The sequence below is a fragment of the Homo sapiens genome, chromosome 6, assembly GCF_000001405.40.
Source record: "Homo sapiens chromosome 6, GRCh38.p14 Primary Assembly".
Lineage (NCBI taxonomy): Eukaryota > Metazoa > Chordata > Mammalia > Primates > Hominidae > Homo > Homo sapiens.
The window spans coordinates 55,507,000-55,525,481 of NC_000006.12; the positions used below are offsets into that span (position 1 = coordinate 55,507,000).

At 33.2% G+C, this 18,482-nt stretch overlaps 1 protein-coding gene across 10 annotated transcripts in view; it reads right to left on the bottom strand.

The window, feature by feature from the left end:
* HMGCLL1 (3-hydroxy-3-methylglutaryl-CoA lyase like 1) overlaps positions 1-18,482 on the bottom strand; it is a 244,547-nt gene that overhangs the window by 72,627 nt on the left and 153,438 nt on the right. For 6 of the 10 annotated variants that reach the window (XM_047418902.1, XM_047418904.1, NM_001042406.2 and 3 more), the window contains 2 exons: positions 9,509-9,604; positions 7,049-7,197 (listed from right to left, as the gene is read on the bottom strand). The exons of 2 other annotated variants lie outside the window; for them this stretch is intronic. In XM_047418902.1, coding sequence (XP_047274858.1) covers positions 7,049-7,197; positions 9,509-9,604 — 245 coding nt within the window. Of the gene's footprint in view, positions 1-5,075; positions 7,198-9,508; positions 9,605-18,482 lie in introns of those variants that run through there. 2 more of the 10 variants (NM_001287741.2, NR_109867.2) reach the window with 2 other exon arrangements.

Below are 18,482 nucleotides of genomic sequence, written 5' to 3' on the forward strand. Positions count from 1 at the left end.
TAAGATGGGAAAGACATTAAATTTGTGTGTGGAAGACATGAACAGAAAACATGTTCTGACTGAGGACCATGTGTTGTACCAGAAAGCATTGAACCTGTAAGACTTCAGCAAGGGATCTCCTGAAACTGGTGACCCCAAGCCATTACTGCAGGTAAAGGACATTTCACAGATTCAGGAATAGGTTTGGACTCAAACATACAAAAATTACTGAAGAGGCTATATCTGTGGGTTAAACTTTATTATACATATGTATGTAAAGGATAAAAAGAGTATACATAGGGTTTGTTATAATACTATCGACAGTTTCAGGCATCCACTGGGGTCTTGGAATACATCTCCTGCAGACAAGGGGGACTACTCTAAGTATCCTTTGGGACAATTCTAAATGGGACCTGCATGGCAGACTCCCTGTTTCCCCAGCCCTCAAACTAAACCCAACTCAATATCTGAATATGTTCCCAATGATCTGGGCTGGACACTTCAGGTAATACTTCATGTTCCATTTATGATGACTTATATTGTTTGTTTTTTAGAAGAGATTTGTAAAATAGTCTGTCTTTTTAAATAGCATGATTATGTACAAAATATTATTTTATTCAACAAATTAAACCAATGTAGTTTCAGAGACTTTTCTCAGAGTTCTGTATGTCCTGGCTTTTGACTCTGTCTCCAGCCAAGCTCTCAAATTTTTAATGATCCACTTAAATCTCTGAGACCTGAAACTTACATCACTGTGCAATTTGTTCTCTTATGTTCAATATGAAAGACATTTCATTTCATAGCTCCCACATTATATTTTATTTTGTAAACTTCAACAGCATGTCTGCTTTTGAAAACAATTAAAAAAAGCATCAATGTTAAATTCAACTACTAGAAACCAAACTAATCTTGCCTTTTTCATATAGTGCTAAAACTTTAATTGCCACCTTTTTTTTTGGCCTACCCACTCAAAATATTTAGCTTCTAGGGTTTCTGTCCAGTTGATTGATGAGTGAAGAAGTGAGAATTTCAGAGCACTGGCCACATGAAATGACAGGTGAAAAAGGGATTCCAAAGATCAGTAAATGTGAGAAACTCAGTCCAACACAACAGCCATCTTCCAGCCCTAGTTTAAAGAAGTCCTATATTTGGAGGGCCTGGTTAACAAGGATAACCATGTTTAGTCCAGGTGTCCACAAATTTTTGAACCATGAATTCTCCCCTTACCTCTACCTCCACTACTACTGTTTTAATTTTAATGTAACCCTACTAAACATGTTGAGTAATGCTTTCAGAGAATCTGGTTAGATATTTCCAAGGTAAAGCTCTGAGATTGACTCATTTCAATCCCTAATTACATTTTTAAAATAAATTTTTGATTCAATTTTGAATTAATTGAAGAATGCCTAAGATTATGTTTTCTGCTGAATTATATTGAAAAAGTTAAATAAGATTAGAAATAAATTTATCGAATACTTATTATTTCCAAACTTTATTCAGAGTACTTCTTCCAGGTATTCTGTGTTCTAATTTCATATGAATAGTGTTTCTAAATAAAAGTAAATTTGTAAACACTTTTCAGGAATTCATAGTAAAGTTAATCTCATGATAAAAACTTCTAAATGTTCATTTTTCTATTTAATATGTTGCACAACTCTCTTTTCATACTTATTAAATTCACTTTGTTATATCCTTGTTTCACATTGACATATATAATAAAAGAAAAAGCATGTTAAAAATAATTTTAAATTATTGTAAGTGACTGTATGGACTATAAACATATACCATTCAACCACAATCCGTGCTGAATTAATTTCACACCTTAGGGACACCACTAACTTTCTTGAAATTACTTGTGTAAATTAAAATTCTACTTCTTGCCCAGGTATGGCAAGGTATAATCCAGCAAAAGAATATTTAATAATGAAAAAGTATTAATGCTAATTTCATGAGAAATGATTAAACATATTCTTACCTCAAAATGTCTAAATGAAGGCTATTTAGACACAACTGCACAAACCCAGCTTACAAATATTAACTGCTGCTGGGTATGTGTTGTTCTGGCACACAGCAGTGCCAGAATAATATATAAAGCTTAAAAAGTACAAACCCTTAAACAAACCATATGTATGAAAGAAAATAGCTTTCACAGATGTCTTATTTTTAGAGTTTTATGTCCCATATTTTGGTGGTACATAATGATGATTGAATTGTTCTTCCAGACCTAGGCCTCAGTTGAACAATAGAATTTGGAAAGGAACTTCTGTGGGCAGCTTCTTGCTGCCCACTTACAAGAATATGATGCTATAAATGCAAGTGTTCCATAGAGGTAGATCATCCAATGGAAAGGATTTGATGCTGTCATAAGAAATGCTAGCTACTAGTCACAGTGTACTTAAAAATGGAGCCCTAAATAAGGAGACTCATTATCTCACTCAACAAGACTGCTATTATCTTCAGGGTCAGGATCTGAGTCCATACTGAGATTCTACATTAGACAAGGAGAAGAGGAAAGACACACTCAATGCAACGTGACCTAGGTGGTTTGGCTAATTCAGCAAGTAGGTTGCAAGTTTTTGAATAAATGTGTGTAGTTATAAATTATCTCTCAAAGGGGGAAACAACAGTGTTTTAAAGGAGAATACTGTGCCCTGACTTCATGGCACGTGGGAAGATTGCCATTTCAAAGGATGAGAATTATATAGAGCTGAATCAGTTAAAAAAAATAATTAAACACAGGAAGAATTTCCTAACATTGAGGATCTTTCATCAAAGGAATTCTTCACGATTGTATGTAATGCAATCCCTTTTGGAAGCATTTAAGACCAAATTAAGTTTTCCCTGTTTTTGCATAAGAAGAAAGTCAATAGTGAGAAAAATAGTAGACGAAGAGATGGACAAAATGAACACCCTAGATTCATTACAGTTCTCGGAAAATCTGACTCCTTACTTCCTCCTAAATACTAAGCACATTTTATTTAAAAAATTATGACTAAAGTATGACATTATCACACCTGACAATTGTCTTTGTTTTTCTGTATCTAAAAGTAATCTATGTTTGTCTCTATTAGTTGAAAAAAATTCAACCAGTTACAATTCACAGATAAATATTTTAAAGTTTTATAATTTTTAAAACAATGAATCAATAATTTTGTGTGGCTCCTAGGAAAAATGTTAAATATACTCTTCTTTGAACTTTCAGTATAAACTTTCAGAAGGTTAATCACGAATCAAATGATTCTTGGCCATCTTATAGGAGAAGTATAAGATGTAATTATGTAAAGAAACTTTCATGATTTATGCTTTAACTGGGTATATACCCAAAGGACTATAAATCATGCTGCTATAAAGACACATGCACACGTATGTTTATTGCGGCACTATTCACAATAGCAAAGACTTGGAACCAACCCAAATGACCAACAATGATAGACTGAATTAAGAAAATGTGGCACATATACACCATGGAATACTATGCAGCCATAAAAAATGATGAGTTCATGTCCTTTGTAGGGACATGGATGAAATTGGAAATCATCATTCTCGGTAAACTATCGCAAGGACAAAAAACCAAACACCGCATGTTCTCACTCATAGATGGGAATTGAACAATGAGAACACATGGACACAGGAAGGGGAACATCACACTCTGGGGACTGTTGTGGGGTGGGGGGAGGGGGGAGGGATAGCATTAAGAGATATACCTAATGCTAAATGATGAGTTAATGGGTGCAGCACACCAGCATGGCACATGTATACATATGTAACTAACCTGCACATTGTGCACATATACCCTAAAACTTAAAGTATAATAATAATAATAAATATATATATATATACAAACCTGCTGACCTTGTAATTTTATAATTTCTATTTATAATCATTTTAACCATGAAATTAATAATGGCAACTTACTAAGAATTTCCTTTTTAAATTAATACTCTCACAAAGAGTGAGCATGTGATTAATGTCATTTCAATAAAGAGAAGCTGATAATCACTTTAGACAAAAATAATAAATTCTGAATGTCTTATATATTAAAGTACTACTTCATATCTTGAAGAATTTCAATTTTAAAAGGATCCTGGCAAGCCAATAGATATTTCTTTCAATAAATACCATTGATAAAAGGAAAATAATCACATTTGTCATTGGCTTTTATTTTTCTTTGCCCTCTTAACCTTTTACAATTTAGACAGTTAATAGAAAAATTATCTAGATTTAAAAAAAGTCACATGAACTGCACATTAAAAAATAAAATCCAAACTGCGGATATTTCATTTTGCATTCGCATATAACCAGTAGTTTGCTGACTCTGCATTTTGTCACTGATTTGGCATGGTATCTCTTCACAATGTGTCCCAGACGTTATGTACAGTTCTGAGCGTGTGTTAAAAATGTGTACACATGCATGTGTTGTGTGTGTGTTTCAGTGAGTGTGTGGGGGGAATTTAACAATAGCCTTCATAACTGTAATAAAAGCTACTATTTGGACTATATGAATGTTTACTATTTTATAAAAATTTTAATAGTTTTAGTGTGCTTTTATAAAATGTGTACTGCTATGGCCTTTAAAGCTGACAACTGACGACATAAATTTTCTGGATGATTATCAAGTATATGTTGATGCAGCTGTTACCATGCAAGACATGCTGAAGCATCTACTGCAGTTTCAACTAGTTGAGCATGGCTCCTTTCCTTAAATAGGTACTAATGGCTTATGACTTACAATGGTGAATACCTAAAATCAGATTGCCAGTAAAAATAAAATCTTATTTAAACTTTATATAAATTGTTGGGAGGAATAAGATATTTTCAACTACACAAATAGCTGCTGAACTCTAATACTGAAAGGCATATTTCTGAAAATGAGAGTGTTTCAGAAAATTCAGGAGTTGTACTCCAAAGGAACAAAATCCACACTGGAAAACATACATTTGTCTATAATTCTACAGTAAAGTCTCCACTATACTCTACTCATTTTGCTTTACTGTGGGTCACTTCTTGTTCATCAAAGCCTGGAAAACTTAAGCCACAGCACGATTAGAAGTTTTCATTTTTCTGATGAGGCAATATTATTTGTCAAACAATGAGTATTAAGAGGGTTTAAGATTTTTATTAGCCCAGTTACATTAACTATTCCATTTTACAACAGAAAGCTAAGATAATAAAAGGTTACTTCCTACAACTTATATTTGCATCCATCTTTCAACACTAAAAAAACCCTTCCTATTTGAAGAGCAAGCTACATAAGCAATTTACTTCTTATAGTCACATACTTTTTAACTTTCCAATGAGAATTACTTTAAAGCTTATACTCCACACTTTAAACACATATTGAAGTAGAATAGGGTCTTCATCTTTCTCTTTATTTTAAAGAAAATTGAGACAACTTATTTATATTCGAATTGAGAAACCAATAGTATATCTCTCCTTTTTGATTGTGGTTTTGTAACTTTTGCCTGAAAAATAAATATCCTTTATTTTATGTCTTTGGAAGTACATTGCCTTGGATTTTAAATTTTTCTCATATAGTCCTTACATGATATGCATCTATCTTAATTACAAAAGTAATTTCAAATTTTAGAAACTCATGTAGACTTACTATGGAGGACAGGAAAAATATAAATAGAAAACAAACTAACAAAATATTTTACTAGGTATAGTCTAACTCTAATTGTTCCCCCAAAACACCTTGATTGAAATTCCAATCATTTCACTAATATTTTCAGTCACAATTGACTCACTTATCTTTCTCATTAACTGTTGAATCTTTCCCGCTACCATGAACTTTGCTCACCTCAACTAAGGGAAGTACAGCCTGCACCCAAATCCATCCCCAGCTTTCAACCTTCTATTACCAATCGCTATGCACTTTAACTTGTTACGATGTGTGTTCATCATATCTCCATATTTATAAAATTAATAGAAAAAGTAGCTAATGTCTTAGAAACAAATTCTTCCTTAAGAAACAAACACACACAAAAATGCATTATAGGTTTCACAACCCATAGGCCTGGTTATAATACTTGAGGCAACTATTGGTCCTGGAAGCAGACAAGCACCAAGGCAGATTTTTCCCTCTCCTCCCTCCCCCATACCTCTCATCACCGCTAGGAGCCTCCTTTTTCCATTTCTGCTTTCTACTACTCTGTCCTGTCACTGGTTTGCATGTGGCTCCATCCTAGGAACCCCAAAATAGTGAACTCAGTGACAAAATCACATAATCTTTCAATACAAGTAACCATGTTTGGTATACCATTTCTAAACTCCTGAGAGAGAAAATTAGGTTTGTGGATCTTGGGTCAGTTTTTATTTTCCATGTCCTGTAATCAACATCTCTTAGAATGAACAGCTGATAAGTTTCCACAAGAAAAAGGCAAGGCGAGGAGAAAGGGATTGATATCTCTGATACTCCTAAATTTATAGAAATCACATATAATAGAAAATAGTAGAGAACTGAAAGTTTATATTTATCTTCTATAAGCAATTTATCAAGTATTTTTAAACAGTGTTCTGCAAGATACTATGGAGGTGATTTGGGATCACCCAGAGGAAGTAGAAAAGTCAGCCATTGAGGGGGAGAAAGAATGGATAAAATGATTTCCCAGAGCAGCTCAATTTTATATCTGCTGTATTCTATTGAAGTTCTACATAAAATACTCTTTGAAGAAAAAGTCATGTTTTAAAAAAAATTTGAAAACCACATTAGGTGATTCTTTTCCAAAAGCTGTTGTGAGTTTATACCAACTTATCAGCACATGTAGGCTGAGATAAGAGGGCTGCATTTGGGTGCTAGAGTGTTAATAAAATAGTTAATAATGCCAGATTTGCATGCTAGTTCCTCTGATTTCAACTGCATGACACATTCCACAAGCTAGATACTCACTAATAATCAGCAGTGATGTTAATGAGATGTAACTATATAGTGATTACCCTGATTAAACAAAATAGAAATATGATATTCTATGTATATTTTTATAAATGATATAAGAATCTCTAGATAATTTTTGAGTAAGCTTTAACAATAAACATTAACAAAACAGAATTTGTGGGATTTCATAAGTACCCTCGTGCTGGAATATTCATGTGTCTTGCAGACTTAACAACCTCCTCAAATTTTCCCATACTTTCTTCAATGGAACAGTTAATATTCTTCTTGCTAAAGGATTCAGATGCAGCTCCAAAAACTGATATCTCAGTAGCTCCAGCAGCAACCTGAAAAATATATAATTTAAAGCCAAATCTAATAACTTCAAAAATGTGAATGACAGTGGTAGAATAAAGATTAACTACTCTATGAAGGCATACATGTATTCTTTAATATTTGCCTTAGAATTTAAAATTGGATTCCTCTCATCTTGCCACATATATTCTTTCGAAATGTAAAAATATTTTGTAATAACAGAATAATCCACAAACTGCAATATTCATAAGTCTGTGAGGCACAAAAACACAATGAGGATGTTCTATTTAATTATGCCTTTTAAAAATTATGTATTATCTTCAGAAATACTGTAAGCCTAATTATGGAAAATACTAGCACCCCAATAAAACCCTTATCCTCCATGAAAAAATATTTCCAAACCAATTATTAAAATGGAAGATACTAACTACTTTGTTTATCTTCTCTTCCTACAATCCAACAGAAAAATATTTTTCCAATTCATCATTTAGATTTTGCCCCCAGTTTTTCTTTGGTCTCCTAACCTAGCTTTTATTTTTTTGTATCCTGACTTCTACAGCCATACTCGTGTGTACCTAATGCTTTGATCTTTTTGTCAGTCTTTAAATGCAAAATATTAATCTAATCAATTTCCTTTTTGCACTTTTTGTCAACTTTATTCCTTCTTCCAGGCTCTCCAGTGACTTGTTTTCAAATATCAAGCCTCTCAGTCATTCAGCTGGATGTTTAAGACCTTCTGTTAATGTATTTCTAGCACTTTGCCTACGTTCTCCCCTCTTGCTAATCCCCCATTAACACATGGGGGGGAGGTCAGGTGCGGTGGCTCACGCCTGTAATCCCAGCACTTTGGGAACTCAAGGTAGGCAGATCACAAGGTCAAGAGATCAAGACCATCCTGGCCAACATGGTGAAACCCCGTCTCTACTAAAAATGCAAAAATTAGCTGGGTGTGGTGGTGTACATCTGTAGTCCCAGCTACTTGGGAGGCTGAGGCAGGAGAATCGCTTGAACCTGGGAGGCGGAGGTTGCAGTGAATCAAGATCACGCCACTGCACTCCAGCCTGGCGACAGAGCAAAGCTCCATCTCAGAAAAAAAAAAAAAAATACATGGGGGGAGAAAAACTTAAAAGCTATCTTTTCATCTTTCCTCAAACATTTAAAAAATATTGGCTTTTATGCCTCTATCCAAAATAAATTTTCAATTTCTAAAATAAAAACTCTATTAGTGAACATCTACTATTTGTCTGTACTGTTTTTAGTACTATGGATGTGCTTTTTGTCATCTACAAACAACTGTGTAAACTAAGTGTTGTTATGCCAATTTTACAGATGAAACAGCTATAGCGCAAAAAAGGTAAATCCTTAGCATGATATCACACAGGGAGTAAAAGTTCTGGAGTCACGTTTTGAGCACAGAATTGCTCCAAAGTCAAGATTAGTTCCACTCCAGTGCTTGCCCCTCTGAGTTAACATGAGAGTGTCCTTTCAGTATCTTCTTCAAGGTAAGATACATTCTTTACTTTGTTAGGATTACTAGATGACACCAATATTTATAATTTTTAAATGACTTTTTAAACAACGCAATAAAAATTTTATCAAATCAAACCCAAGAGAAAAATAAATGGTTCTAACAAAATACATTATACGATTAATACCCCACAATCTCAACTTTACATAATATAGTTTCATATAATGAATATTTTTCATTAATATTCATTAATACCAGAAATAGCTGCTGCAAAACCTATGCAATAAGCCCATATACGGATAACACCTTAAAATTGAAGAGGATAGTCTCATATGTATAATTATTAAAGCTTTATTTAAATTATATAAATTTCTAAATCACAGAGGATCAAAAGAAACAAATCAGAAGATAAATAGGGAAAGTAACTAGAGCCAGATAAAATGACAATTAGCTTTTCACCCAGAGGGAGAAAATAACAGACACAAAAAGCTGATCAACAAAGGTTGACAAAAATAATTACCAAATTCAACAATATTAATAACTATAAAAATTGCATTGAAAAATGCTTAAATAGTATTCTATATTACTTATTTAAGAAGAAGCACAAAATATACTTCTAAGAAATTTCACAAAAAAATGCAGAATTTTACTTTTGTGTTTTGATTTTTGAACGGTGAAGCTGGAAGAGCCAGGTATATAGACCACTTTAGTCCCCAACAATGCTGTGAGGACTTGGAGCTCTATGTCTTCATGTTAGTACATTAGCATAGTATTTGTATTACAGATGAGTTACATATGACACAATTTTAACTTTGTAAATATCTTTAAAACGATAAGAGGCCTATCAATTTTAGAGATATTAGTAGCACACTTACAGCATGGTGAAAACCCTGAAGATTAGGAGTAAGGACAGGATAGCGAACTCCTGGATATTGATGAATGCCTTTCATTACTTCAGTGTGATCAGCCATCTTAAATACATAATAGTTATATGTAAATGTGTAACTTCGAATATGTTACCGAGAATCATTTTAGTTTCAGGTAGGTTATAGTTACATGGACAGTTAGAGTCTTTAAATTAATATCTGAAATAAAAAAAAATGCCAGTGAATGTAAAGGAAAGTAGTTCTCAGTCTCATAGACTTATAATAAGTAGAGATAAGTTTAACTGTTTTACAGAATGGGATCTTGTAAAATGAGTTATTACAGATAGGAATTCGGAACTTTATTATTTTCACTTAACCAATCTTTATTCCCTTCCTTTCATTTCATGGTCCAAGGCTGAAATACTCCTGAGACTGGGGAAAGTTGGAAAGGCAATATGCTATTCATTTACCATACACATGAAAATTTTATGTCCAAATAATTTTCAGTGTATGAAATTTTACAATGTTTAGGAAAATGTAAATTACACATATTCTTTAGAACAGTTTAACAAGGCTGAGATCCCAGAATGCTATTTGGTGAGCATTGGTGCTTTAGTTAGTAATAGTTATAAAGCTTTATGTAACACTATCATAGTATTACCACGTTTTCATATGTGAACAAATTAATACAGTAGAGTTTTCACCTGAAAAATTTAACCTACCCTGTCAACACTTTGTTTTCTGTATCTCTAAAAAACTCAACTTTGAATTAAAATATCAAATTTACCAGTTTGCCACAAAGTCTAAGAATTAGCTTCTTAAAACAATAACTATTAATCAGATCCCATAATCATCACACAGAGAAATTACCATTGACATAACCATGAGCCTTACATATTTAAAAATAATAAATTGTGGCATGAACAATAAATATGAAGAATAGTATATAAGCAGTGGAAAGTATACAAAATGAACATGCAAAAAGCTGTGAAAATATGCCAAACCAAAACTGGAATCCTCAATATAGAAATGCAGAAAAAGGGCTATTGGGTTTTCTTTATATAACTTGGTTTGCTATCATCAGAATGCATTATTTTTGAATTTAAAAAATTAAAAGCAAATAAATCCAAACAAAAAATGCTTTTTAAAACATAGTTAAATACATTTGAAAAATATTATAATATTAAATATAAAAATACATGTTACAATATTTACTCTTATTGATACATTCATCTTGTCAACTCTCAAATGCCAGCAGAGTTAAATTTAATGCTTTCAATTAGTATAATCTGCATTACTTATATGAGTTTTTAAATACATATAAATTTGAAATTAAATACCTAAGATGCAAAGAAGTACCTTCCTTTGACTGCCATCATGACTTATTACATTTAAGCTTTCGTGTTTCATTCATAAACACATTTATTTGTGTTTACCAGGTGATCTTTTCTCACTTAATTCTATACTATTGTATCCACTATCCCCTGCCTCACCAATTCCCGTCTTCTCCAAACAGTATCTACCACATTCATTTACAATGCATAAAAGTGATATCTCTCATTTCATTCTAAATCTATCTGACTTTAATCTAGCTGTTTATTGAGCCCCTACTATGTCCAAAGCTCTATGCTAGGTCCTGTGGAAAATAAAAATACAGACCTTACTTTCCTGGGGGAAAATGAGGTTATTGTGCTGAAGTAGTTAGTAGTATAGTTGGGGAGACAAAACAGATACACATGGAATGTTAACAATTCAAAGAAATATACTGGTTGTAAATGAGATCACAGATTATAAGAGTTCAGAATGAATAAAGGTTGGTATGGCCTATAAAAGTCTGGGAGAGTTTGAAAGAGCACATGGGATACAAGCTGCAGTCCTTCACTGTGGCATTGTTCCAACAAAAAATGGCCACACCAATATTTCTGGTCCTGTATGTTCTTCCAGGATCTCACCACTTTTCACAAAGAGGTAAACTTTATTTACTCTTTTCCTTGAAGCTGGGTAGACTGTGATTCCTCCAACTATTAGAATGTAGTGGAAATCATACTATATGACTTCTGAAGCCAGGTTACAAAAAAGGATACAGCTTCCATATGGCTTTCTCTTTTGGGGAAAGCCACTGTGGGGAAATCAGCCAACATCCTGTAAGAAAGCCCAAATTAGCCTACGCAAAGAGGCCACATAAGGAGACCCTCTTGGAGAACCCATGTGAAGAGGAACTGAGGCCCCCAGCCAATAGTCAGTGTCACCCCCTAAATTTGTGATTGAAGTAGCCTCCAGATGACTTTTGCCTCCAGCATTTGAGTCATCCAGCTGAGGCCCTAGACACTGAAGACCAGACACAACCTGTCCCCCATGTCCTGTTCAAATCCTGGCCCACAGAATTAGTGAGCATAGTAAATGTTTACTTATGCCACTAAGTTCTCAGGTAATTCATTTTACAGCTATAAAAGCTGCAACACTGAAAAACCAATAGGGTTGGAAAAGAAAGACGGACGGTTGCGTAAGTGGTAACATATTATTTGGCTAGAGAAGATTAGTAGTGAACAATTGGGGATAAGCTTATAAATGAAGAGGAAATCACACACTGTGATGTGTCTTTGAGTTAGGTTCACGTTAGTATAAAGATTCTGATTTATGCTGAAGGCAATAGAAAGCCATGGAGAATGGGTGTTGAGAAAGGAGAAGACTGGACTAAATGTAGTATTATAGAACAATTAATTTAGGGGAGGTGCAAAGGATAGTCTAGATAGGAGAGGCCAACTCTCAGGTAATTGTGAGAATCCATCTTGTGACAAGTTCTGTGGTAGAAAAAAAATGGTACTGGGAATAGAACTAAAGAAAAATGAAGAGGACACAGTGGCTAATAACACAGAGGAGCACTTTACTCAAAATTGTAATTCTCACCATTTTATAGCCTTCCTTTGTAAATAGTTTGTACATATTTACACAGTTTTTGATTGCATATCCATGAATTTAGCTTTTGTGCTTGATGCTATTTAGAGTGTGAGTACTCTCTGTCTCTGTCTCTGTTTTTCTAACATGCACACACAAATGTGCATGCACACACAAATTACAAAAAGAAAATAAGCAAACTTATTTCCGATAATAAGCAGAAAGAAAAGCAAAGTTTTAGGATATTGTAATAAAATGTAAAACAACACTAAAGAATAATGTTAATCAATATTATTAATGCTTAAGCCTAAGTAAACATAGTATGTATAAGTATTTATTAGAGACATATGTATTCTCATGATAACAAAAGTTAATAAAGATCATGTTCCTAACCAAATACAGATTTGGATAGAGATTGGCAGTATATCATAAAACGGAATAATGGGCAAATAAACAAATTTTAATCTACAATAAATATAGATAATCTTGGCCTATATTTAATTCATTCTGCACATAATTTAACAAAAATCTTGAGACAGTGGGAACAAGCTTATATAATGAAGCAAACAATAATTTTTTTAAATAGATGTTTCAATCAATAGATCAAGAAAACCAAACACCACATGTTCTCACTCATAAGTGGGAGCTGAACAATGAGAACACATGGACACAGGGAGGGGAACATCACACATCGGGGCCTGTCAGGGGGTGGGGGGCGGGGGGAGGGATAGCATTAGGAGAAATAGCTAATGTAGATGACGGGTTGATGGGTGCAGCAAACCATCATGGCACATGTATACCTGTGTAACAAACTGCATATTCTGCACATGTACCCCAGATCTTAAAGTATAATAATAAATAAATAAATAAATAAATAAATAAATAAAAGAAAAAAAAGGAAAATGAACAGGGATGATAATGAAGTTCCCAGATCATGAAAACTAAAAATTGATAATCACTGAAGGTATCTTAATAAAATTATGATAAATACAGAAAGTAGAATCCAAAAAAATCACTACTTTTACATTTTTAAAAGTGCTCACAATATAATGAGGCCATTCAAGAAATAATAGTATTCTGTCTTAATTTAGTCAGTAAAGGCAAGTAAGTAAAGAGTTTTAGGAAATCCTGATAGAGTATCATTTTATTCCAATGAATAAAAAAGGGCAGGTTCCAATTCAAGGTACAAAGTCCTTGCTTTAATTTTTTTTTCTCTTGGGGAGTTTATGTTATACTTCAATCTTAATATTGTTTTAATGTCTAAAGTTTATAATTTAAACAATGAAACTAACAATTCATTTACATTACTGTTTTGACATTTTAAGAAAGCCTTTCTACATCTGGTTTTATTTAACAAACTTTTTTCAGACGTTGCAGTGATTTTTTAAATTTAAAATGATAAAAATCCTCATGATTTGGTTAGTAACAAGTTTTGCCATCACCAGCACACAGTCTGGAAATGGCAATATCTGTATATCTCTAGCCAAAAAAAAAAAATAGGCCTACCATGGTTAAGAATTGTTTTAAGCATGCACATTTTGATATAGATCCAAATCATCACAATATTTGCGTAACATTCTGCAAGAGTTTTCAAGATATGCAAAGCATCATGAAGATTATAGCCTAACAAGCTTAGAGATTTTATTTGCTACTAACTCTTATCATGACGTAATTAAACTGGGATAGTTCACACTATACACATTTAGATATCCTATCATGTTGTAATTACCTGAATACTATAATGTGTTCCAAATATTTAGGCTTTCAATATGTTCCCCAGACAATGGCAATGGCTAAAATACAGTTTAAGTGTTGTTAGTGTCATCAGCTCACCCAAATTCCCTGAGATTAGTGGAATTTCAAGATAATGCATATGAGAATGCAGTGATAAACAATGAAAGAGTTTCTCAAAAACTTCTGAAAGAGAATCATATTGGAAGTTTCAACTGTTTTTTTGTAAATAGGCTACAGCAGACCTAGCTTTATTCAGCTGTGCTTTATTGTATTTCACAGGTACTGTGTTTTTTACAAATTGAAGGCTTGTGGGAGCTCTGAGTTGATCAAGATCTATTGGCATCATTTTTCCAACAGAATGTGCTCACTTTGTATCTCTGTGTCACATTTTGGTAATTCTCACAATACTTAAAACTTTTTCATTATTATTATATCTGTTATGGTGATCTGTGATCACTGATCTTTGATTTTACTATTGTCATTATTTTGTGGCACCATGAACCACACCATATAAGATGGCAAATTTAATAAGTAAAGGTTGTGTGTGTTCAACTGATCTATCAATTGGGCATTCCCCACCTCTCTCCGTCTCCTTAGGCCTCCCCATTCCCTGAGACACAACAATATTGAAATTAAGCCTATTAACAACCTTAAAATGGCCTGTAATGTTCAAGTGAAAGGAAGACTCACATATCTCTCACTTTAAATCAAAAGCTAAAATGATTAAGTTTAGTGAGAAAGGAATGTTGAAAGCCCCGATAGGTGATAAACCAGGCCTCTTATGCCAAACAGTTAGAAAAGTTTTAAATGCAAAGAAAAAGTCAGAAGGGAATTAAAAGTGCTACTCTGGTTTACACACAGATAATAAGTGAAACAGCCTTATTGCTGAAACGGAGAAAGTTTGAGTGGTCTAGGCAGAAGATCAAACCAGCCACAACATTCCCCTAAGCCAAAGCCTAATCCAGGGAAAGGCCTGATGCTCTTCAATATTATAAAGGCTGAGATTGGTATATTATTGATATATTATTTATATATACTCATATATTTGTATGATAAATTATTACTTTTTAGTGTATTGTAAAAGAAAAACATTTAATAACCCTAAACTTAAAGGATACTGTTTATTAAAATACTCCAAAAAGTTATAGGGTGAAATTTTTTATAGGAATTAATTTTTAACATTTTTCAAAGTATACAATTCTTTCATTTTCAAGTCCCACAAAATTAAAGGTAAAAATACCTATCACCCTTTACTTCTCTTCAAAATGACAGTTAGAGAAAATAGAACTTTCACTGAGTAAAGTTTACTCAGTTCCAACTGATAACATGCAATGTGGGATGTTCAATAAAGTGAAATAAATATTTACTTTAAATGGAAGTACATAAGGAACTGAGAGTTCCTATTCATTTTTTGACAAGAGTTGACTCCTATTCATTTAGATTTTAATCAGTGATTAACTCCCCGCTGCACCGGCCCTGAACAAATGCAGTTACAAAGCTACTCCATGTACAGGTCTCTAAATTCCAGAGCTGCATTTGTAATACACTTTTTATATGTAATTCTCTCATACCCATTTATGATACATGTCATTTCTATGTTTACTATTTTAACTTAATGAGAGATTAGTCCACTATAAGTTTGCAAACTACAGAAGAGGAGAATGTTTTGGGTGGTTCTGTATTACCATAGAAATTATTCAGTGTGTTTTTGTAGCTCTGCTGAAGATGAGAAAATTTAACTGTGTGATGGGGTGGAAATATTAAAAGTTTAAGTTAGCACTGTTGTTAAGTGACAGAAGAGTTCAGAGGAGGATCTAAAATTCATGTGAGAAAAAAATACAAAGATATTTTTACAGTGGTATCTTTACAATGATATCTACAAAATTATATAACTTGACCACCTCTCTTAGAACTAGATCTTGTAACCTAAATATAGGACTCTATATTTTGTACCCTTTTCCCTGACCTGGTCAAGTTGATATGACTGAGTCAAGCATCACCAGTAAGTGAGTCTCAGCCATTGTCCTGTCTCCACTCCACCTATCTGATAAAGGGCTCAAATTGTTTCCCTACCTTGCCCTCTAACAAGAGAGATTTTATGCTTTGTAATAGTGTACTAGGTAAGAAGCTAGCTGAGAAGTCCTAGGTAAACAAGGAAGGCATAGCCAGAAAATCTAAATAATCTAAACAGTCATGATATTCGGGAAGGACAGCCTGGGATTTGAAAGGTAAGCTTTACTGGCAAATTGCTTTGACTGCTCTATAGCAGTGAAACGGTGTGAGATGAGAAGAAAAAAGGGGAGTTATACAAAGTATTGCTGTGATGTATACAGCGGTTCTCCTGCAATGGTCTTCAAGTAACACATGGCGATTGGAATACCATTTAATTCCTTAGGTTGCTATATTATATTTTTTTATGTACAAATCCAGGCCAGACTCTGCCAATTGGGAGAGCTCACAATTGCTGCACTCTTTCAGAATGTTGGTGTAAATATTCTCATACACTGAAAATATATAAAACCCAGTATATCATATAAGATATAGTACACAATTTTACCTCATATTACAACTCACTGTAGAGTAGAGCAAGAGTGCATATTCACCATGTTAATGTCCTACACTAACTGGCACCAGAAGTATGTAAATAGTTAAGGAGAAACAAAATTCAAAATGTATACAACCAGAGGCTAGTTTGTGCAAAATTCTTCCAAACATTATATACATACTGTTGTAAGGAAATGAATCTGTTTTCATCCATGTGAAATCAAATGGAAATTTTCATCTATCAAAAATATATTCCATATAACAATTATACTGTGCATGTTTCTATTTTTAATTGCATAAAATTACAAAAATAGAATATATCAAAATTCCTCCGTGTGAAGTGTGCAAAACTGTAGTAGTTCTTCTAAAATAAAGACTATATCTGCGTACAAATTTACATATATCAAAGTATTAGATTACATCTTAACACATTACTAATAATGAATTATTAAACTGAAAGATTTTTCTAACCTATAAATAAAGTTTTATTGACAGTGCTAGAGAAAAGACTGAATTATCTGTCTACACTCTCCATAGAAAACATCATAGTGTTGACCTTAGAAAGAGACGAACAAAGAATGTATAGTCACAAAATAAGAGAAAAAGCGTATTATGAATTAACCTCAGATGCTCACTTAAATTTTTAAAACTAAAATTTTATTTTTCTGAATTTTGAGATATTTGTAATATGTGTTAACTTTTAAAATTTTAAAATTTCATAAGTTCTTTTTTCTCATTTAAAATTAATATTTATTTTCCTATATAATGTTGTATTTGGCATTTATAGTCTTTAAAAAAAAAAAAAAAACGGGATCCTCCAAATTGATGTATTCAGTATCTAAAGTTCCCTACAAGTGGTTGGCCATATATCTCCTAGTGATTTGCAGATCTCACCCAGAGACAGACAGGTGGCCCTAAACCATCCAGACATATCAATTAGCAAGAGCACAAACAGTTGCTTCACTTGAAGTAATAGGGCATAGATAGTGGTAAATGACTCTCAAACTGAATGATCCCAGAGACTGGCTCAAACTTTGCATTTTGCCAGAAACGCGATCCTTGAAGACAAAAGAACCTGAGGCATATCTAATGATTGTCCCTTGGAAAATTTCATATTTCCTGGTTCCAGTGTTTGTGATGAGGGACCTTGACAGATGCAACAAGGCTAAACTTTACAGCACTTTCTGAGGCACTGAATAGGAAGTAAAATAACCAAGAAAAGGAAAAGAGGAATAAACTGTAACAGCATGGGTTTTTGAGTAGTGTAATTAATACTAATTACTATTACTATTAATTAATAGTAATAGTAATAGTAATTAATATTATCTGTTATAGAAGTACAAAAAATGATCAAACAGAGTAAAAATTGAGGAATAGTATTTAAAGGCTCTTCCTGACCCCAGCAACTTCCATGACCTCATCATCATTCAAAGACAGCTCTGCCACTGTTAGCATAAATCTTTCCCTTACTTCAATCCACAGACTTGGTCTATGCTGGTCTATGCGACACCCACCGGGATATGGAATCAGAAAACTAAAAAAAGAATTCTAGAGGGCCTTAGAGGCATAATGAAAAAAAGGATCACTTAGAGATCCTCTAAATGTTTAGGCTCTAAAACAGAGTTAGGGTATAAGATATTTGAAAAGGGGGATTTTTAAAGTCCTATGGTAGGATATGAAATTAGGTCCCTTCAAATATTCTAAATGAAGCATGAGTGAAGATTGGAATGACTTAATTATTTTGACATTTTGAGCATGCTTTCGTATATGAAAGGATAGCATGGGGCTCCAAATTTTATTTTAATTACAT